At 36.0% G+C, this 23,025-nt stretch overlaps 1 protein-coding gene across 46 annotated transcripts in view; it reads right to left on the bottom strand.

Annotated features, from left to right (window-relative positions):
- The window catches only part of RPS6KC1 (ribosomal protein S6 kinase C1), an 811,495-nt gene that overhangs the window by 603,267 nt on the left and 185,203 nt on the right, over nucleotides 1–23,025 (bottom strand). For 41 of the 46 annotated variants that reach the window (XR_007058661.1, XR_007058662.1, XM_047417936.1 and 38 more), the window contains 2 exons: nucleotides 17,172–18,767; nucleotides 16,811–16,900 (listed from right to left, as the gene is read on the bottom strand). Coding sequence is in view for 40 of the 46 variants with exons in the window: in XM_047417936.1 (XP_047273892.1) it covers nucleotides 16,811–16,900; nucleotides 17,172–18,767 (1,686 nt within the window). In the remaining 6 variants the exon portion in view is untranslated. Of the gene's footprint in view, nucleotides 1–16,810; nucleotides 18,768–23,025 lie in introns of all 46 variants that reach the window. The other 5 variants (NR_146210.2, NR_146207.2, NR_146209.2 and 2 more) reach the window with 2 other exon arrangements.

The raw sequence follows: 23,025 nt of genomic DNA, 5'->3' as shown, positions 1-23,025 counted from the left end.
GCCTCAGCCTCCCAAGTAGCTGGGACTACAGGTGCGTGCCACCACACCCAGTTAATTTTTTTTGTATTTTTAGTAGACACGGGGTTTTACCATGTTGCCCTGTATGTTCTCGAACTCCTGAGCTCAGGCGATCCACCCGCCTTGGCCTCCCAAGGTGCTGGGATTACAGGCATGAGCCACCGCACCCGGCCAGTGAGATTTTTTTATTACCTACATGAATATGTAATTGACACAAATGTTTAAATTTTTAAAGTACAGCAAGATGATATGAAAACATTCAGGCTTGTTGGAAAAGTTACTCTGGAGCAGGGAAGAAAAACTACGTAAACCAATCCTCCCTTCTGTTCATCTGCATAGTTTTTTCCACAACTTTAATGCATGAGAAAGAACAATGAACTAGGAATCAGGAGTCCTGGGTTGAGTCAAGGAATTCACTTGATGTCATCTATAACATGAGGGTTAGAGCTGAGGGGCTCTAGGAACTCTATGATTTGATACTCAAGGATTCTCTAAAATAATGATACTCATGAAGGACATATCCCTGGGTGCTCTCTTTCAAAGTACATATGCTACCCCTCCCAGATTCAAATACATAACCCTCACCCCCATTCCCATTTCACAGGGAGCCACTATCACCTTTGGAAGTGTACTCTTAGACTTTATAAAGGGTGTGTGTTATTAGAAATGTTAGCAAAGTAAAAGGGAAATTTATCATAGTTCTATCATAAAATATAACCTTTTGTACATTTCCTTCCAGTCTAAAACAAGCGATGAATGACATCATTTCCCTGCTCAAAATTCTCACTGACCATTAGATAACATTCAAATTCCTTGCTTAATCAGGTATATATATACAATTCGGCTTCCATAATAAGGTATCAACCCATCATATTCATTCAACCAACACACATGAAGCAGCACAAATTAGGCACTGTACTAGGCACTATTCCTCCATAGAATTCTATGCTTTGGCCACACTGTTAAATTATGTGAAGCTAAAATCAGTTTTTCCCCTAGTATAGTTAGTGGTTTTATTTCTTAAATATCTTTTTGTTCAAGAATTTCATTTGCTCCATTTTCTTTAATCATATCACAAGCAGTGTATACTTCTTAGTATTATAAGGATCACCTGAAGTCAGGAGTTTGAGACCAGCCTGGCCAACATGGCGAAACCGCATCTCTACTAAAATACAAAAATGGGCCAGTGCGGTGGCTCATGCCTGTAATCCCAGCACTTGGGAGGCCAGATCATGAGGTCAGGAGATCGAGACCATCCTGGCTAACACGGTAAAACCCCGTCTCTACTAAAAATACAAAAAATTAGCCAAGCGTAGTGGCGCGCATCTGTAGTCCCAGCTACTCGGGAGGCCGAGGCAGAGGAATTGCTTGAACCCAGGAGGCAGAGGTTGCAGTGAGCTGAGATCATGCCACGGCATTCCAGCCTGGGCAACAGAGCGAGACTCCATCTCAAAAAAAATAAAAAATAAAAATACAAAAATTAGCCAGGTGTGGTGGTGTGCACCTGTAGTCCTAACTACTTGGGAGGCTGAGATAGGAGGATCACTTGAACTTAGGAAGCAAGGGTTGCAGTGAGCCAAGATCACACCACTGGACTCCAGCCTGGGCGACAGAGTAAGACTCCATCTCAAAAAAAAAAAAAAAAAAAAAAAAAAAAAAAAAAAGTTTTACCTGTTTACAATTCAAGATCCAAAGTTATCTGTCAGCCATCAGTTTTGAATGTGCCACCAACCAGCTTTACTTTCCATTTATAATGCTGCTTTGTTCACAGTAGGTACACATTGCAATAATGATAGCAGCAATAATAAAATAGCAGCTACCATTTCCTGGCTGCTCACTACATGTAAGAAACCATGTTTAATACTTTACATGAATTATTTACAATCTCTAAGCAACCTTATGGAAGAACTTATTTGGGTATGGTGACTTTGGGAGAGAATATTGTATTTATGTGCCCAGGAAGAAGCAGGACATCTGATCCAGTTAGCTTAGAGATGTAAAAATTAATGAGATGGTTTATAGGGTCTAATAACATGTGCTAAGGAGCTCTAGACTAAAGCCCCATTCTAAGTCTCTGCTCATGAGGTTCCTCGTTAAAACTGAGCAGAGGATTGCCCAGATGGGTCTGTCTAATCGATGGCTAACATACTTATAAAGGTACCTTTTAAATTCAGCAAAAGGTCCAAAGTGCCACCAACAACGTAGCCTAGATCCTCAAAAGCTACATGTTATGTTTGTTTTCCACAGCACTGCAGGGAACACGCACCCCAGATGAAATGTGTTAGTGGGGAGGCCGAGGGAGAGTGTGTTCTTGAAGCCACAAGATAAGCACAGTCCATATTCCTGAGCCTCAGAGACTTTTGTATGTGGGGAGGGGATGGAGTATTGTTTTACTATTACTATTTTTTAAAATAAATAGACCTATTATGGAACACAATGTAAAATTTGCATGGATTTGCAAGATAAAAAGACTTCAAAGAAACCTCAGAATCTTATTTCACTGGTCCCCTGGGATACTCATTTCGTATCACCTCTACAGTCAAGTACATAAGCAGAAAAATTTGAGAGGCACTTCATAAGACAGACAAGGTGGATTCCTGTATTGGTTTCTGTGAACTTGCTCAACTGCAGAGTCTAAGAAGTAGGCTTTATGCTGCTTTGAAATCCCTAAGTAATCTTCTGCCAGGGTCCATAACAGGTAAATAATGACCAATGTACTGCTCCAAATGTGGATTGCCACAGTGTCTGATGAGCCCCAATCTGAATGGGAGGCAACACAGACAGCAGCAAGAGACCTAAGAATCCCCTAGAGGAAGCCTGTGCAACCCACAACCTGTGGGCTGAATGCAGCCCAATGCAAATTTGTAAACTTTCTTAAAACATCATGAGATTTTTTTTGCGACTTTTTTTTTTTTTTAGCTCATCAGCTATCGTTAGTGTTAGTGTATTTTATGTGGCCCAAGACAATTCTTCTTTCAATGTGGCCCAGGGAAGCCACAAGATTGGACACCCCTGCAAAGCTTACTTACATTCCCACTCCTCAGTGGGCTTGCTAGCTAGTCCAAGACACGAAGTGGCACCTGAGATAACTGCTGGAGACACTTTAGCTAAGCTGTCAACCACAGTCTACCTCTTTCACTCCCCATTTTCCATCTTTCCTGGATCTTCATCTCCTCTCTTCCACGGACAGCCTGCTTCATTTCTTCCCCATTGACTTTCTTTCTTGCCTCCTCTCAGATATGATTAGTTCAGCTTTCTAACACACTTAGGCCTAAAGACACTGCTGGTCCCATCTAAGGAAAACTGCTTTTGAAACTATGAAGGCAGCTAGGCTGAATGTCATCTTTAATCTGACTGGAGTAGTAGAGAAGGATAAGAACTGTAAAAAGGTAAATTGGTTTTTCATGGAAACCAGAAAAGAAGACATTGAATAATTTTTAAATCCATCCCCTTAACAATGCAGCTTGAAACTGTTCAAAATGACTTTATATCAAGCAGTGATTCATTAATTAATGTGAAATTGGTAACATGACCAACTGTCCTTGATTTTCATACATGACTCTAAGCTACGACAAAGAGTTCTGCATTTAGGCTGTATTTAGGTAAGATATAAAGAAGAACTTCCTAACAGCTAGGAAGCTTAAATATTAGAACAGGTGAAGGTAAGCAGTTGTAGAATTTCTTTATAGGTGTTAAAACAGAAAAAAAATTCTTTCAATTATCAGAACAAAGGACTTTATTTGGTTGCCCTTTTAACATCCTTAAATATCAGTAATTCTTAGATTAAAAATTTTAAGATACACACTGAAACTGTATTGCCAAAAAGAAGCCTGAGGTTGTGTGGCTATCAAAACTACTTTACTTGCAAACTCTATATAAAAAATCTAAGCATAAACCAACAACACTGATTTATATATAAAGCAACACGATAGTTACTATAAACATCAGGTATATGTACCTAAAATCAAAAGTAGAGAATGAAAAGAAATACCATGTAAGTCTCTGAGGCTATTTTAAAAGACTAACACAGTGAATTTGAGAAATCCCCTTTAACTCCTACCTCAAATTTGAAAAATCTCTAGAAACAAGTAGAAAAACATTTTGTTTTCTTTTCCTTTTTTTTTTTTTTAAGGTTCTCATCCTGTCACCTAGGCTGGAGTGCAGTGGCAGGATGATGACTCACTGCAGCCTCGACCTCCTGGGCTCAAGCAATCCTCCCATCTCAGCCTCCTAAGTAGCTGGGACCACAGGCATGGGTCCCAGGACCACAGGCATGGGACCACACTTGGCTAATTTTTTTATTTCTATTTTTTGTAGACAGAGGATTTCACCATGTTGTTCAGGCTGGTCTCAAACTCCTAGGCTCAAGTAATTCTCCTGCCTTGGTCTCACAAAATGCTGGAATTACAGGCACGAGCCACCACGCCTGGCCTAGAAAAATATTTTAAAGGATAAATTCTACCACTTTTTTTTTTTGCCAATTTTCAAAACATTTTTCCTATAAAACACAAGGTGTTAAGTTTCTGGGCATGCCCCATTCCCTACCGCTACATTCTATAATTGCAATTTCTAGGCTTGGTAAAACAGTATCCTTATTCTCCACAAGTGTAGTGGCACACTACAGGCATTAAGAAACATGATCAGAGAAAAACAAACTATTACCTCAGAAAACAATTTCTCAGTTTATTCCCACAAAAACTCAAAAAGAGATGGTGATATCAAAGAATCCTGGATTTTTGTCCTTAAGTCAAACAGATGTATTGCCAGGGCTCTGGTTATGCTGCTGCTTGAGCTTGGCTGAGTATATCACTATGCTTCTCTGAAAATGAGAACAGCCAGACCTCTAACATTCTTTCAGCCTCTTATAATCTGTAATTTTATGATCCTGAAAGTGTTTTCAAAAGCACTCATGAGCCTTTCTCATAACTTCTTCTCCCTCCATTAACCTAAGATGCCCAAAAAGTGGATTATGCTAAGATGAGCAAGCATTCCTCAATCTTCTTCCTTTTCTCCTTTCTATACATAGCCACTCCTCTCTTTCCCTAAAAGATTAATTACCTGGTGGTAAGTGAAATGAATCAGGGTCACTAAATCTAACCATTATCATCTTTTAATGTAATGGAGACACAGAATCAGCTCCTGATTAAATTTCAACTCATCCATAAATTTTAAAGGACATCAAACATGTGCAAACTGTTTAGTAAAATTCTAGAAATTTCACTTCAGTATTCTGATATTCTAACTACAATATAGACTCTTACTGATTAATACTAATGATTCAAACTATGATATTTCACAAGTGAATAAATAAGATTAAATAAAACAAAGATATCAAAACATAAAATGTGCTTTGCCTACCTTTGCTTTACTCATGTTTAACACCTCATAGAACACTCTTCAATAAGCCAAGATATTTTTCAGAAAAATAATGCTGTCTTGGTAGCCCATATTGCCAAAGAGCTTGCTAAAACACAGAATAACAAAGTTTTATAGTCCTTATGATATTCAGAGTCTTCCAAGTCTCCCTCTTACAGCCAAAATAATAATGTTTACCCTAAATCCAGAACTGCAACTATAATAAGCTTGGCTCCCAAAAGTAAAGGAGCAAAAAAGCAGAAAGCTTGGACTCAACCATAAGATGTCTATATAGCGATGGGAAAGGAAAGGAAAGAAGAACAGTACACACTCTCAGACTTGAGGAAGTCTGAAAGACATTGGAGAGACTATGTGATTCCAACATACTAAAATCATGATGTATGCTTCATGACATACGTTTATCTAAGGGTACAGGCCTTGCCTTTTAAGATTATACAATTTAAACTGCATGGATTTGTCAAAGACATGACGCAAAAATAACCAAAGACAGATCTAACATTATACTGGAAATTGAATCGAAAATTGAGAAAACTAGAAACTGCAAGTTAAACTCAAGCTTTAATCGAAAACGTTTCCATAAAGTTTTAAAAACATGAACCATCTTGCATTTTAAGCAATTGTGGGGCCTTCAATATCCCAAATTCAGAATTTACTTTTCTTTAAAAGACATCACTTTTAAAATGCTTAATAAGGAAATCTGATATTCCACATTTACAGATATGTGTTAAGACACACCGTCAGACTGGTGAGGCCATCTGACTCAGTTCCCTGGTTTTTCCACTAAAGGAGCACCACATAGATCATCTCATTCTTCACTTTACCTTTACTAACAATATAGTTACCCATCCCCATTCCAAAAATTCCCAGAGACAAGTCCATAACCTCCTTCTGGCAATATATTCTGTTGTTGCTATCTTCTCTCCCCAAGATACAGCAGGAAATACAGTATGTTCAGAATCTTCTTAGAAGAGAATTTCACTTATAGAGAAATTCTATTGTAATTTAGAACTCCTAAACTATTTTTCTTAACTAGGCTTTTTTAAATGAAAAGACTCATTTCTTTTTACTCTCAAAGTTATAGCAACTGTGGAACTGTTATTAAGAAGTCATAGAAAATTTAATTAAAAAGCAGCCATCATTGTAAATAAAGTGTTTATGTAATACTCAAAATAAACCAATAGTTAGATGCTGGAAGAATTTATCACATAAGTAACATAATGCTTTATCCAAATAGCAGAATGATAGGCCAATTTTAAGGCCACAAGATCCATACAACACATTAAAATGATAATCAGTAGTAAATACACTAGGGAAGAAGGTGAAAGATAAATATAGTTTTCTAATGCCACAGGATTTTTTCTCAAAATAATAAAAAATTTTCACTTTAAATATCTGACCTTAAGGATTCCAAAGTTCTCTTTGGGGGAAAAAAACCATAAGGAACAAAAATATATTAACTTTCAGGATCAAAAAAAGATCTCTGGTAAATAAGACAACATAAGAACAAAGGCAAATTCTTACAAACCTTAAAATTAAGCACAATGTATACCTTTATACTATCAGAAAGGCAGCTGGAATGTCTAAACTTTCTATAAATTCTTTAAGTGTTCAATTAGAAATGTTGTTACAATTGGTCAAGAATTTAACTTTCTTCCAAGGGAATCAGACTTCATTAATGGATTTAGGAGTAGAGAAAGGTTAAAAAAATCTAATCTGTCATTGGTGACAACTTCGACCAAGGAAAAGAACATCTTTCTTTTTGCAATGAGCATTCCATGTCAGCTAGGGCACAGAAACATTAGTACTGTGTTCCTACACAGACAATCTTTCCCTGCAGCATCTGTTGCTAATTGAAAGGGACTAGAATTACAAAATCCTAGTCAATTTCTCTCACCAGCTCTTGCTGTGTATAAAGATTTTCTATGCAGGGGCTGAGCATTAGTCTTCCACTGCAGCCGATGACTAAAGAGCAAAGAGAAAGAAACACAGAAGAAAGCATTTTTTGTATCCAACAATATATGGAACTAAACTGTGGGAAGGGGGACAGCTAAGCATGTCTTTTGTTTGCTCAGAAAACTACCATTCTATAAATACAACTATTCACCTATAAAGGTCTATTAACATCCTAGTTAACCAATTGTATATTTCTTCTGTTTGGGTAGACTCCTTTTCATGTAAATCTTCAAAAGTAACTGTCAATATTATACCAATTATGTCTTTTATTTCTGGCTCCTAGGCACAGTGCCTGGGACACAGGAGGCATTTAATAAATGTTTGTTGAATAAATATATCAATCTTGTATTTTGTAGCACTGTCCATTCAAGGCATTCAAAGCACCTCCAAAGCCCTCATCACATTTGTTTTCTTTAAGTTCCATTGAGCATGCAGATCTACATCAAGTCCTTTTGCACTTTTACAAGTTGTAGGCTAAAGAGTTTAAAACATTATCTAAAGCATACTCAGCAGCAGGAAGAAACAAAGATTAGAGGGTGAGAGTGGAAGCCAGTCAGCTGACTGCACTATTCCAGGCAAGAGATGAAGGCAGCCTAAACTCAGGTGGTGGAATGGACACCTTCCAGTGCTCCCCATGCAAAGCACAATGACTGCCTCTGGAAGGTACAGTTTGCTCTGGCACAGGTGGCGTGTGCTACATCAAGAAAAGAAAGCTGGGCTGGGAACGGTGGCTCACGCCTGTAATCCCAGCACTTTGAGAGGACCAGGCAGGTGGATGACCTGAGGTCAGTTCAGGACCAGCCTGGCCAACATGGCAAAACTCCGTCTCTACTAAAAACACAAAAAATTAGCCAGGGCATGGTGGTGGCCATCTGTAATCCCAGCTACTTGGGAGACTGAGACAGGAGAACTGCTTGAACCCAGGAGGTGGAGGTTATAGTGAGCCCAGATCACACCACTGCACTCCAGCCTGGGTGACAGAGCAAGACTCTGTCTCAAAAAAAAAAAAAAAAAAAAAAGCTGAAAAACCTGGGCGAATAAAGAAGACAGGACTGGGAGATAACTCAAGGTTTTTTCTATCCCTGTTCAATTAAAGGAATTTAGGCACCTAATTCCATAAAATGTGCCACAAATTTGTAAGCTGGTTCTATTTGGCTGGTGGGCTGGTGAGATCATTTGTATCAATTACAAATATTTTTTAAATGTTATCAAAAACAAATTCATTTAAATGTATTGTAGGACAACTACACTACCTAGCCATGGTATTATTTTAAATACAGAGACAATTTTTTTTAAGTTTTTGTATATGACAATGGAAAATGTTACAACCGAAAGCAAAACTAAAAGCCATAGCAACTATGAGAATAAAATTTCATTTTAATTCCAGGTTCGGAATGCTCCTCTAATAGTTATAAACTAAAACATCAAAGTTTAATAGCTTAAAGTTTACAAGTTCAAAGGCGCAAAGCTGTTCACAGGGACCTTGTACTTGAAATGAGTCAAGTCAGACAGAAGAAACTTCCCTATAGTCTCACATTTCTGAGGCAGATCTTCATTCTTACATGATAGACTAACTAGAGCCTGGAATTTTCATTTCCTAGCCCATCCTTTCAAATGGGCATTTTGCTCCTTTTTTCTTATTTTATACTATTTCAGAAAACATTGACTGCCTAATTATCCATTCTATATTCCATAAAGTCCTCCAGCATTGTACTCAATTGCTTATTCAAATGCTGTATTTGTTGAGCAGGGTACATGAACTGTTTGAAAGTTCCTGGAATCACATTACTCTAATTAGCGTATTATCCAGAGAAGACCAATGACAGAGACTGGCACTTTCCAGAGAGAGAAGTCTGCAGCAGCTGGGGCCCCCACTCTTCTCCCAGTGCTGCAAGGTGACAGGGGATATGTGGTGCTGCTCCACCCTAATACGCATTCGCTTTTTCGGCTCACCTCAGTCTCTAGCCTCGCTTCCTGCCACCACCTCATCATTTATTCAGTTGGTTTTTAGGTAATTCAATTACCTGAATCCCTGGGCCTGCTGTATTGTGGGGAACTGGACGTGAGTGCAGACCACACTCAGCTAGTTCAGGCTAGGCTTGGCTACATGTCTAATTCCACTTTTCTCCCACTACCTAGCTCTGAATTTCTTGTTGTCGTGGTGACCTGGCAACCATGTTCTGAGCTTTCCTGCAATTATCTGTACAACTTAAGTCAAAACTCCTTAATTTCACTTGATTCGGCACTCCAGAGCCAAGAATTACTTGTTCAAGGGAGTTTATAGGTATCATTACTATACGGTTTTCTTGTGAGATAAAATAAGAAACGAGTAACTACCACATGACTTCTGGTTGACCGATTATAATTCTGAGCTGTAAACAATCTTGCTTACTCTCTCACCCTGTATTTCTAGTAGGAAAAAACCAACAGCATGCCCCATTTTCCATTGATCATATCACAACAACTCCATTCTGAGTAGCCATCAGGTGTCACAGTGTTACCCAACCAAAGCCATTACAGTTGATTGATGAGAAAAAGGCTAACTGAAAATTGTGAGAATGACAGGCATAGCTCTCTCGCTTGCTTGCGCTCTCTCTCTGCCGCTCTGCTGCTGTGTTAGGCAGAGAGCTACACGCATGGCTATTAAAGGAGCTTCAGAAATCCTACTTGCCTTATCCTCACTCATTTTTAAAAACCTTAGCATTTTTAAACATTTATTCGAAGGAAGAATTTGTGAAGAACTGCTCAGAAGGAATAAGACCTGGTAACCTAATGGAGATTAAAATTTACAAAATGTTATGGGATACAGAAACTGATGATTTGATAAAAATAGTTAGCCAATTGCTCTGGTATATAATGTTTAAGACTCAGTATTACATCTTTGTTAAACATCAAAGGCAAAAGACAGTTCACTTTCTTCTTTATAATAATGCAGTGGTGAGGCCAATTACTGAATAGTTGACAAAAGTCAACTGAGATACGAAAAATAAAAAGCATTACACTGTAGCTAATACTTTAAACTATAAGTCTCTAGTCTCATGTTCCTCTTCTGAAAAAGAAATTTGCCCAAGATCATCAAGAAAAAAGGTTTGGGGTAAATAAAAGGTTAAGATTAACTTATTTTTAATAATCTAAAGCTTGACATAAACCCTTCACTCCAAATATCAGGTAGTATTATGAAATGTACAGAGACATTGTTTTTCACCTCTTCTGTATCAAAACATCAATTCATTGAACTTCTCTTGGGATGTGCTAATGTGTCATTTGCTAAGATGCCAAATAACTGGGACTGAATTCTTTGCTCTTACTTTGTCTCATTCTCACCACTAGAGACAAATCGCATTCTGGCTTGATAGGAGAATCATGATTTCAGAATAGTCTGTTTCAATATGGAGCAACCTTAACTGAGATGTGATGGTGACTGGCCCATGGATTCCAGCATTCTAGACCCTCAAGTCCTCCTAAAGTGATCCTTTAATCTTCTTTGCACCACAAGGGCCTTGCCTAGACAAGGTAAGACTTGTGTTAACTTGAGGCCTTTTTTGCTTGTACTCTAAACTCACGTTACAAGTTTCATGGATATACAGTGGTGAAGTGTATCAAGAAATTTTCTTCAGTGGAAAAGTCTCACTATTCTATGGCAAACTGAAAAATTAACTGGTTCTCCTGAAGAATAAATAGATTTGGTTTTTATGACGATAAGAACTGAGGGCAAAGGACTAAACATACTTGTTAATCATTCAAGGAAAACATTAAAATACTATGTACAAGATAGCTAGCTATTGCTGAAGTTTTGCTTAAGGGTAAATAAAACAGTTACTGTCTGAAACATAATATTTAAATATTAACCATAAATATTTTACTCAAAATTATTCCTATAGTTCCCTCTTGCTGCCACCTTCTTTCTGTTTTAGGAAAAAAAGTAGTATCTCCTGGTTATGTCATTATTATTTTGAAATATACATCTATATTTATTTGCTTTCTCTATCAATCTTACATTCTTAAAATTAGATTTCTCATGTTTGCTGAAATTACCCAGGTCCCATAAATTATCACATCTAAATATTTCTTTCTTATTTAAACAATTTTGTTTGTTGAGAATCTTGACATTCAACTTTCACCCCAAACAAAAGTTGTTTTGGCTTCATTCCTCTAAATGAAAGTATTTTCCATAAATCCCTTATTTCTACATGATATACTTTATGTACAAACTCTATAAATGAGTAAAAATATATACTCAGTCATCCTAATGAAATAATTTTTTAACTCTACTAACATTAGATAAGAAATCAATATTTACCCTTGGGGGGAAAATCCTGCCTTAATATGATGAACTTCAATTTTGAGTACATTTTGTGTAAGGAGGATGTCAGATGATCTGACATCTGTGATTTTACTTATATCCAACAAATCTATTTTACTACTGTTAAACTGAGGCCTAGAAAGTCTTAAATAAATTTCCCGAGGTCAAGCAATCAGTTAATACATGATCTGGGACAATATGCAGGTTTGGTAGTTCTCAATTCCATCTAAATGTTCTAAACCTTAAAAACTTCTGATAGCCTCAAGATATTTTAAACTCCATCCATGGTCTGAGTCCTAGTTTTAATTATCAGATACATAACTATTACATGGAGCTCCATGCCTAAAAAGAAACAAATGCCATGGAAAGCATGTTTATGGAGAAGGGCAGGGGAAACTATTCCCCAAAATATATTCATGGATTATTTGATAAAGTCAGGCTAGGAGAGCAAAGAAAGGTAGTCAATAAATGTCATGCTCTAAAACTGAATTTTTACAGATAGTTTTCAGCATGATTTTTCTATGTTTCACTTTTCACCGTCAGCTGTGAGCTGTTTCCAAGTGTGAAATTGCCTAAGAGAGGAAGCAAAGCTGTCATTTGACATCTGGGAGCATGGAGATCGGGCTGCAGTGAAAAGCATTTTGGACTTCTTCAATTTACACACATATGCACCTATAAATTCTCAAGTGTGAAAAGTATTCAATGACAAATATCAATGTAAATTTCAAGCATTTAAAATTAAAGACTCATAATAGGGCAGAAAATAAAAGTGAAGGACACACACTGATAGGATACCATATCAACTTGTTCAAGACTAGAATGGGAAACTTAAGTGACTATATTAGGTTAACTAACACAAATAATTTTATGCACTTGTCTCAGATTGTATATTAAGCTTTCAAATATCATTTTCTTGTATTTTTCTTTAAGAGACAAGGTCTTGCTATGTTGCCCAGGCTGGAGTGCAGTAGCTATTCGCAGGCATGATCATAGCACACTGCAGTCTCATACTCACAGCCTCAAGCAATCCTCCCACCTCAGACTCAGTTTTTTTTTTGTATTTTATATGCTTAGTAGTACAGGTTCTATTTTCTAGCTGTTTTTGAATGATAAGAGTCAAGAAAAAAAGTAGTAAAAAAAAGTACTTTGACATTTTATTTTTCCTTTATACTTAAAACACTATAAACAAAGGTTTATTCTTTATTATCATAAGTTAATAAATCAAATGATAAAGCACATAAAATCTTTTGGCTAAAACTTTTGTGTGTATGTGTGTAAAAACAGATATAAAATCAGAGTAACCAGAAGAAAGTCCTCCAGAGAAAAATAACCAATTTACTCCAGTTTTTATTCTCTAATCCCTCACAACAAAAAAAGCAGAAGAACCTGTGTAAAAGTATCCTAATAAAGTATCTACAAGTCTCCTAATGTGGAAACCAGACAGTGTTATATTTATATTGTCATGCTATACAATCTGTTCCTACTTTGTGGACTATTTCTTTTGCCTTTTCTCTTCCTGAACTCCATTCTGTGTTTCTGTGGTATGAAAGGAACCCATTTACCATGAATGATGTTTATTTAAAATAAAACCTTTCTAGAGAATCATCCTAGATAATCTAAGGATACAAAGTGAACCTAAAAGGAATGGCTTCTACTTTGAAAACAGGGCTGGGTTTGATCAGTGAATTCGTATTCTCAAGACCCTCTTGATGGGTCTGCAGCTGCAGCCATTTATGCGCTGGCTTTTTCACAGATGTAGCCAGAGAAAGCTCCATGGTTTTTGTCTTTTTGTTGTTGGATTTGTTTTCTTTAATATAAAAAAGTGGCAACTTTTTTAAAAGTTCTCAGTTTTGTTATAGAAACTTGTGAATCTTGGGCATCCTTGGGAGTATACATTGTTGAAATAATTATGACTTTTTAAAATCTAGGATCACTAAGTTGGCAGAAACTATACTTAAATAACAGAAGGTGATCATTTGCATTTCAAAATTTATCTGTCTTGCTTTTCCCCTCAATTAGACCAAAACATGTTGATTCACAGGTTTCTGTGTGTGTGTTTTTTCTTTTTTAAACTTATTTATAGAGCAGAATAATGGCCCCCCTGCTAGTTTGGCATTTGCTCAAGTTTCTGTCCATGCAAATCAAATCTGTTACTGGAAATTTTTCTCAAAATATAAAGGCACATCATCCACAAGATAAAAAGATATACTGCTGATATTATAAAGCACAGGGCAGGTGGATAATGTTTTCAGGACAAATATGTGATAAGGATTCCCAGGAGGTGAAGTGGCAGGGTAGAGGGTGCACACTGTTTAAACAGAAGTGAGTTGCTCTCATCATAATCTTGTGACAACTTTTCTTTCTAACCAAACATCAGCTGCTTAACATGCTTTAGAGTTACTTGGACAATAATACTAAGGTTAGACTTGGGAAGTAAGAGGGAGGGGATCACATGAAAGGAAATTACTTCAACCTTTAGTGTTCCTAAGGGTAGATCAAAAGGTGGTTAAACAATCTATGACCCATGTAGTTACTGATTTGTATTTTTAAGTATTGAAATATTAACATATTATCATTGCTTCCATCCTTTGAGGAGAGGAAAACCTATCTGTAGTTTTGATTTATCAGTAGCACTGCCTATGAACTTTTGGAGCAAACAGTAATTCACAAATTTTTGCTCCAATTTCCCTTGAGTTATAAGTAAGGGGTACGAGCACATAGACTTAACCAAGTTCTATAACTCTCTAGATTTAAGGTCATCTTAATAAGAACACTGGTATTACTTTTCTGTTAAGGCCATTACTCGTTTTGTTTTACCTGGTTGCTAAAATTAACAGGCCCAATGAATGGAAAGCCTTTCCACATTGTTCACAAAGCATGCCACAACACTAGAACACTTTTGCAACTCACAAAGCTTGGAAGTACAATTCTTTTATGCAAATAATGACAACAAAGCACCTCTTCAGACTACAGCTTTTTTCAAATGCTAGTGAAGGACAACCTGGAAGAGGACAGCAAAATCCATTAATGGTAGACTGCCACCTGCTGGTCAACTAAGAGAATTGTAATTTCTGGGACAAGGCTTAAAAATTAGAACTTAGAAACCGATCTGTATTAAATTCGGTATTTCAGTATATGAAATTGAAAGTGTGTATCTGTTGATGAATGTAATATGGTTCTGTTCCACATATATTAAAACTCTCAGGATACCAACATGTTATGGATATTAAAGTAAATATGACTGTGCTTGAGAATAAAGAAAAATAATCTGCTAGAATGTTCAAGCACAAATTTACAGATAGTTTCCAATAAGTAACAATATATACACTTACTAGGAACCAGGAGAAAAAAAAGAAAGTAACAACAAAAATAAGAAATAAGAAACTACTTACAAATATTAAACAATATTCCATAAATGTGTGGTTTTGTTTTGTTATATGGTTCCCACTGTACTTCACTTTAGCATGTAACAGGCTTGACTCAAAAAAACTCCCAAATTAAGTTTGATTCTAAAACTTCCAAATTCATTATAATTAACAAATATATTTCTAAGTACACTGGAACCTAAAATGTTATTTCTTATCAAATTAGAAAGTGGGGAGGATCTGGTTTTTTTTTTTAATCGAGTAACTGTAATAAAGTGAATTCAACATGCAATTTTTTATCCTATTTACTAACATGATTTCAAAACATAACATCACATTATCTATTTGAGAAAAAAAAATGTAAGTGTGCTCTATTGTCTCTAACAATAAACAAAAACCAAACAGTCTTAATTTGAAGGAAGAAGGAGGAAAGAAAAGAAAACCCTAATAGTTGCTTTCAGGAACGTTTTAGGATATTTATTTTATAGGTTGGAAAACTTTGGTATTCTCTACTGCAGAAATAATTCTTAACAATGAAAGTTGTAACTAGAAACAATCTAGCTCTTTTAATCCTTATTATCATCACTTCCCATTATGCAGAGAAACAAGGTTAGCATCAATACACTAGTTAGCTGTTAAGTATTAAATACTATATTGATCAACACCTAAGCAGACTATATCAAAAAAAAATCAGCTTGAAACTCCTTTGAAGGCCAATGGGGCAACAGGTGAAGTGACTCTGGCCATCCAAAGAGGCTAAATGGTAAGCAAAAGGTGAACAAACTTTGGATTCATAATACAGCCCCATCTGCACTGATGACTGAGAAAAACCAACTCAAATGCAATTCATATGCTTATGCTACCTATAATTGTCAATAAAAGATCTAATACCCACAGAATAAATCTCTAATTTTTAAAAAATAAAGACAATACAGTAAAGGCAAGATAAAACTGTTTTGTCTATAAAAATTTGTTATAAAATGCCAGGTTGGCACATCACTAAAATCATATTGCATTTTTAAAACCTCCATTGTGCCAGGCACCATGGGCTCATGCCTGCAATCCCAGCTATTCCAGAGGCTGGGGCAGGAGGATTGCTTGAGGCCAGGTGTTCAGGACCAGTCTGAGCAACACAGCAAGGCCCTGTTTCTATTTAAAAAAAAAAAAATTTTTTTAATTAGCCAGGAATAATGGCATGCACCCGTAATCCCAGCACCTTGAGCCCAGGAGTTCTAGACCAGCCTGGGCAACAGAAAGACCTCATCTCTACAAAAAATGCTTTTTAAAAAAATTAGCCAGGCATGGTGGTGCACAAATGTAGTCCCAGCTACTCAGAAGCTGAGGCAACAGGACTGCCTGAGCCCAGGAGTTGGGAGGCTGCAGTGAGACATAACAGCACCACTGCATTCCAGCCTGTGTGACAGAGTGAGGTATGTCTCAAAAAAAAGAAAGAAAGAAAAAAATCATGCATCTAAAGAGGGTCAGGGTATTTAAAGGTCCTTGTAAACACTAAGAAGTTAAGACATTTCTAAGAATTCACTGCAGTTCTTAATGAGGTATTAAACTCATTTAACAATAATAAATATGTGGACACACATACATATATACACATATATACCTATGAATTACTTAATTGGTTTAGCCCCAAATTTTCTTTTTTGAAGGGTTAAACAGATAACCAAATCCAACACATATGTAAACTGCTAGTGAACAATACAAAAATACAACTTCTATAAAGAAATGAGAGCTGCCGAACCACTTTTTCAAGTGAAACATTTTAGGAGATTGCTCTAACCTGGGGCACAGTACATTCTCTCTATGGCATCGCTGTCACAGGAATCTTCAACCTCACTCCACCTGCTAAAATACGTTAGCTGAATGTGTCCTAAAAACAAAACGACAGGAGAAATCAAAACATTTTTCTCTTCCATTTTCTGCAGAAGTGAACTGTAATTACTCCTTTTGTAGCTAAAAACAGTATCATTAAGAATAATGGCATCATTAAGTACTAGAAGCTATTACTGGGGGTGAATTTGCTGCACTGATAATGAAGCTCTAGACAGGAAATGAAGATACTAATTACAAGATAAAACGCCTACTCAGTTAATTGGAAGCAACAGCGAATAAAAAGAAATGCATTTGCAAAAGTTCCTGACCTCTATCATTCAATAAGATGTTGTTTGGGTTCAAATCGCGGCACACAATTCCCTCTCTATGTAAAGCATCAAGGGCTACCACCATTTCAGCTGCCCATCTTTGAATGCAGCCCTCTGGGATGTAAAACCTGGAGGCTAGTGCTAATTTTTTATCAAGGTCCTCAAAAATCTGATGTATTTCCTTGTCTCCTTCTAGCACTAAACCACTTTCACCCTTAGTCTCAGAGTCTCTCTGGAATAAAGAAGTTGGTTCCTCTTTAGCCAAATCATCAGTCTGATCTGTAAACAGCAATACTTCTTCTGTTTTTAAAGTGTCTGTGCTTGCAATATATTCATTAGCACCTGAGAGTGGACTACAAATACGGAATAAGCTTTCTTCTGTGTTGTTTGCAGTTACTGCTGACTCAACCACTCCAAGTCCTTGAAACTTAGGATCTGAGCTGGGTAACAAAGACATATCTCCTGAACTACTATGATCAACAGCTGCTACAAATAACATCCTGGGATCCTCCTGTGCATAGTGTTTCTCTGTTATACTATAGGATTTGGGCCCAGAGGGATCACTCAGTTCCTCTATGCCTTTCTCCTCATGTGCTTGGCATTGTTCAGTACTAAGCCTGAGGCATAAAACATCAGGGGCTTCCAAGAGTTTATTTTCTATTATCCCTATATTAGTTTGTGTAAACTTAGTAGGTCCCATTGCTGCAGCTTCTCTTGTTGACTCCAATTCACCAGGTAAATTTACAAGAAGATCAGGTCTTCCTTCATCAGTACCACTGACATCATCAAAAGCAGCATCTTTAAATGAAATAACTGGCACTGAGTCATCTGAGCCCCTGCTAATGGTGTCCTGAGCTTTAAACTCTACCTTGCTTTCACTAGTATTAAAACTCCTAGAAGCACTGTCTCCATCTGGAAGAGTAAAGAATGGTTTCAAAGGTTCTGATTTTAGACTATACAATTTTTCTCCAAAGTCAAGTCCCAGGAGTTCACTTGCGCTATCCTTACTGTCTATCCTAAAGAATTCCATGGGGCTATTTTTTGATCTACTGAGGGAATCTGATGTTCTTGGAGAACTAACTGCTTCTGGGTCATCGTTGGGGAAGAACTTCAGCTCGTGAGCTCTCAGCTGTGTGCTGGGGCTGTCACTGTCAGCAGCAAGGTGTGCTGGGAAGCTTTTAATAGCTTTTGTATCAACACCATTCCCTTCAGTCTTCATGAAGGGCTCCTCATTCAAAGACCCTGGTTCAATCTTTTCTTGCCCATATTCATTGCATAATGTTAAATAACTAGTAGTACATTCTTCTTCTGAACTTGAACCAGAATCTGGCCACTTTGGAGAGCTATCTTGGCCATCATCTTCCTGGTTGCTGTCATCTTGAGAACTTGGAGTAAGACTACTCTTCAAAGGCAGAGCTTTAAGCATGCTTCCACCATCACTTCCTCTGGATTCAAAGCTACTGCTGTCCTGAGGACTAGAAGTTGGCTGCTGCAGGTGAACTTTTGCAAGTGTAGGTTTTTTCACTTCCTTGATGTCAAAGCTTTCTTCAGGACTTCTGTTTAGAAATTTACTGATATATGACCACAGTTTGCCACCTGTGAACAAGTATAACAAAACAAACAAAAGTATTAAGATCTCCAAATTGACAGTTATTTAAGCCATTAGAAAAACAAAAACTATCTTAAAAATCAATCAAAACAAGTCAATAATATCCATTAATATCGTGTGCCATAAGATAAGCATATTTAATAAAATGCTTGTTATTGCTGACTGGTGAGTACGGTTTCAAGCATATCTCCTGATATCAATTTTTTTTTTAAGTGACAACCTATTTCTTCCTTTGAAGGGAAATTAGTTATAACACATACTAGTATGAAATTTCACAGCTAAAATTCTACTCTAAAGTTAAATATCATTTAGTCTTAGAAACATCTGATTATGTTCTGTTCTGTTTATATAATAATTTTTTCACGCATGGCCCCTTGGTCAAGTGGAAATACATAAATAAGTGCTGTTTAAAATTGTATACTACAATGGGGGGAAAAATCAACAATATTATTCCATTTTGAAAATGTCCAGTCCAGGATTGGAGGAATTTGGCATGTGGTATATAATTATGCCTTTATAAATGACATATTAATATTTCCCCTTTTATGCCCAGCCTTACATGTAATATGTTATATAAGTAAAGCTACTGAGGAAAATTAATTGGGCAACCATTAATAAAGCAAGCTACGGAAATTCCGACTGTGTATTCTGACATATATCTTTAAAACTAAAATCATAAAAATCACTTTCATGTAAATCAGAGAAATAAAAAAAATCCAGTATTTTATCAGCAATACTTGTAGTTATTATTTCACCATAGTTTTCTTTTATTTTAACCATTAAAACACCTCAATCCCTTTGTCAATTATAACTTTTACGTTAAACAATTATGGCTAAGTACCAAAAACCTGCTATAACAGTAGTGATTAGAAACAGTATTATAAGAAAGAATAATTAATTAAATTTGATCCAGAAATCTCAAAAGCAGTAACTACAGAAGTATACTTTGCGGAGACAGAATTGTAGTTGCAAAGAAATGAAAAATTAAGAATAATGTGTTAAAAATAAATCCCTCTATTCATATAAAGAAGACAATTTTTCAGCACATATTTATTGTAATCATTAAGCATCATATGCCAAGGGTACCTAAACCTTAAGGAAAATAACCACTGACAGTCAATTGCATGTGTAAAAAAGTCAACGGAAACATCAAAAATACCTCTTCCTACTTCACATTTCATTTTGAGAAATTCAATAAATACACATAGCACCTGACATGGTACCTAGCATAGAATAAATGCTCAATAAAGGCTAATTGTCATAATATTAATCCTAGGATTCTCATACACCTCTTTGTAGCAGCGATCTAGTTAACCACCTTCTCTATTTTATTTATTTAACTTTTTTTTTTTTCTTAGAGTCTCACTCTGTAGCCCAGACTGGAGTGCAGTGGTGGGATCTCAGCTCACTGAAGCCTCCACCTCCTCGGTTCAAGTTATCCTCCTGCCTCAGTCACCCAAGTAGCTGGGATTACAGGCGTGTGCCACCATACCCAGCTAATTTTTGTATCATCTTCCCCATTTTGATACCAGTTAGTGGTACAGGATATTATGGCATTTAACTTTTTCCTCTCATTTTTTTCTTAGCTAATGCTTTCTGTCCTCTTTATACTCAGTGTTTCACATTTCTCCATATTTCAACTGAAGTTTAAAAGGAGCTATGCATTGAGTCTATATTCTTTAGTCTATTGACAACAATACTCACATTCTCTTACCACAAATACCTATATTGTGGCACTCTAACAATGCTTGAACCTAAAACTAAGATTCTTGTATGCAATCCAAATAAAATGATTTGGGTGGTTTTCAATTCTCCTAGATGATGACTACTTTGAGGAAAGGATCAAGTCTTTTTCATCTTTGTATGTCTACTGCCTACACAATGTGCAGGACATAAAAGTCACTGCTTGTTAAATCAGATGATGAGATGTACCGTATAAGCAATCCATAAAGTTCCACTGACCAGCAAGAAATGGTACCTTTTAATAAAGTTCTAAGAAAAGCTTCATTCATTCCTAGGCCAATTCCACCTGAATAAACTACTGAAATCTAAAATTCAATGTACTTAAAGTCTTCATTTTTGGGGATAATGCTATAACTACGACTAGATCCTTACTTTAAGTCCCTCTTGTATCACTCTACCCTACTAATTGCTGCCTAATTAATCTTCTATTTCAGCACAGATCTTATGCCATTTCTGCATTCAAGAAGCCAAGTTCCCTCCATCTACTGAATCATATACCAACTCCGCATAGGCATTTGAACTCCTGAGTAATACAGTTATCAACCCATGATTTGGTCCTCTCCCCCTACTCAACAAAGAATTCATAATGGGCTTTTCCCCATACCATGCTTGCACTTGGAATGTTTTTTTCTAATAGTTTCCCCAGTATCCACTTGTGAAAATCTTACCTATTCTTGAAGGTCCTTCAGAATCTGTTCTCTTTTACCAATTTCTTTGTATCCCTTAACTGGACATCATATATACATTCTCTCAATCCTCTATCATCCACCTTCATACTCCTTATGACATTTACATCATATTAATATTACTTTTATGCTTTTATTATCTCCTTCATGAGACTGTAAAGTCTTAATAGCTGCAGGCAGAGGATTCTATCTAGCATGTAAAACAGGTATTAAATATTTATTAAACTGAGTTATAAAAAGATAACATCTGTACAAATTTTTTGAAAACCTTTCAAGGAAAAGAATCTATAAGTAAGAATCTATAAGGATCTATAAGTATAATGTCATTTTGGGGGCCGTACGTTCTTCCAAAGACATATATTAACCTTAAAAAAAACCTGTTATTGCTAAGGTACATAAAATTTGTCTAATTTTTAACACTCTAAGACTGTAAATGATACTTTTCTAAGTCTTTTTGAAGCACATAAAATTGTAGATATTGAACCATTTTAAGATTTAAAAATTAGAATTCATAATGTTTAATTAAAACTCTTTGTCTCTCCTCAGATTTTAAGTCTATTGTTTTTCTATAAGATTGCAAAGTAAGTTTGTTAATTTGCTTGGTCAGAATTAGGACTTAAATTTCATATGTACGATAAAACACTGCTATCACAGTAATCAAAATCATCTTTTGGCCAAGCAATTCAACTTGAAAAAAATCTGTCCTACATATAATTCTCAAAAAATACAACAAAAACATGTATGTATAAATACATGTTTATACATGTATTTATATGAGTACTGGAAACAATTTAAATATCAATTAATAATAGCCATTTGCAAATACATAGTGCTTACCATGTACCAGGTACTATTCTAAGCATTTTACATATACAACTATTTAATCCTCACATCAACCCTATAAGGTAGGTAATTAATATTATCTCTATTTTACAGATGAGGAAATTGAGACACAGAAAGGTTAAATAACTTTCCCAAAGTCACACTAGTAATGGTGAGCCAGCATTTACATTCACATAGCATGGCTCCACAGTCCTTATTTTTAATCACTATAGTGTATGCCTCTCTTAATATGGACCTAAATATACTCATAAAGATATACTAAAGGCGTCCAAGGTACACTTTTGAGATGGGGGAAAAAATGCAAGCTCAAGGCAATATGTAACACCCATTTAAGTTTTTTAAAAACAGACAGATAGGGAGTGAATGTTTATAAACATAGAAAGTTATTGGAAGATATATAATTACTGTTAAAAGAGTACCTATTTCTGGGGAATAGGTCTGGGCAACAAAGTGAATAGGGAGGGATAATTTTTATTTTTACTTTATAGACTTCTATTTTGTTTGAATTTATTTTATAAATTAGTTTTATAATTTTAGAAAACTAATTAATAAAAGAATCATTTTACTCCTTGGGGCCTTAAGTAACTTGGAGAGAAATTCTTTTCTACCTCCTTTCTGTTTTGTATATCCACAGTCAGAGACTTTTGCAACTTCTGTCTTTTAATTTGGTCTTTCATCTTTGACTGACCCAGTATTCAACAATTATACACTGAGCACCTTCTAAATACCAAGTATTTTGCTAATTCATCATACATATGATGAATATTATATAATCCCTAATCTTAGAAACTTAAACTCTCATGGCCTTGACTGAATACATTTTGTTTCCCCACCTTTCTCTCTCAAATAGTTTAAGAAAGGGCTTTATTAAAAGCAATAGTAAATATTTTAAACCTCTCTCCTAAAATCCTGACTGATATAGCCTGTCTACTAAACATCACCTGAATATTTAATAAGAATCTCAAATTCACAT

This window comes from Homo sapiens, chromosome 1 (genome assembly GCF_000001405.40).
Source record: "Homo sapiens chromosome 1, GRCh38.p14 Primary Assembly".
In the NCBI taxonomy this organism is placed as follows: domain Eukaryota; kingdom Metazoa; phylum Chordata; class Mammalia; order Primates; family Hominidae; genus Homo; species Homo sapiens.
This window is presented reverse-complemented; position numbering and strand designations above follow the sequence as displayed.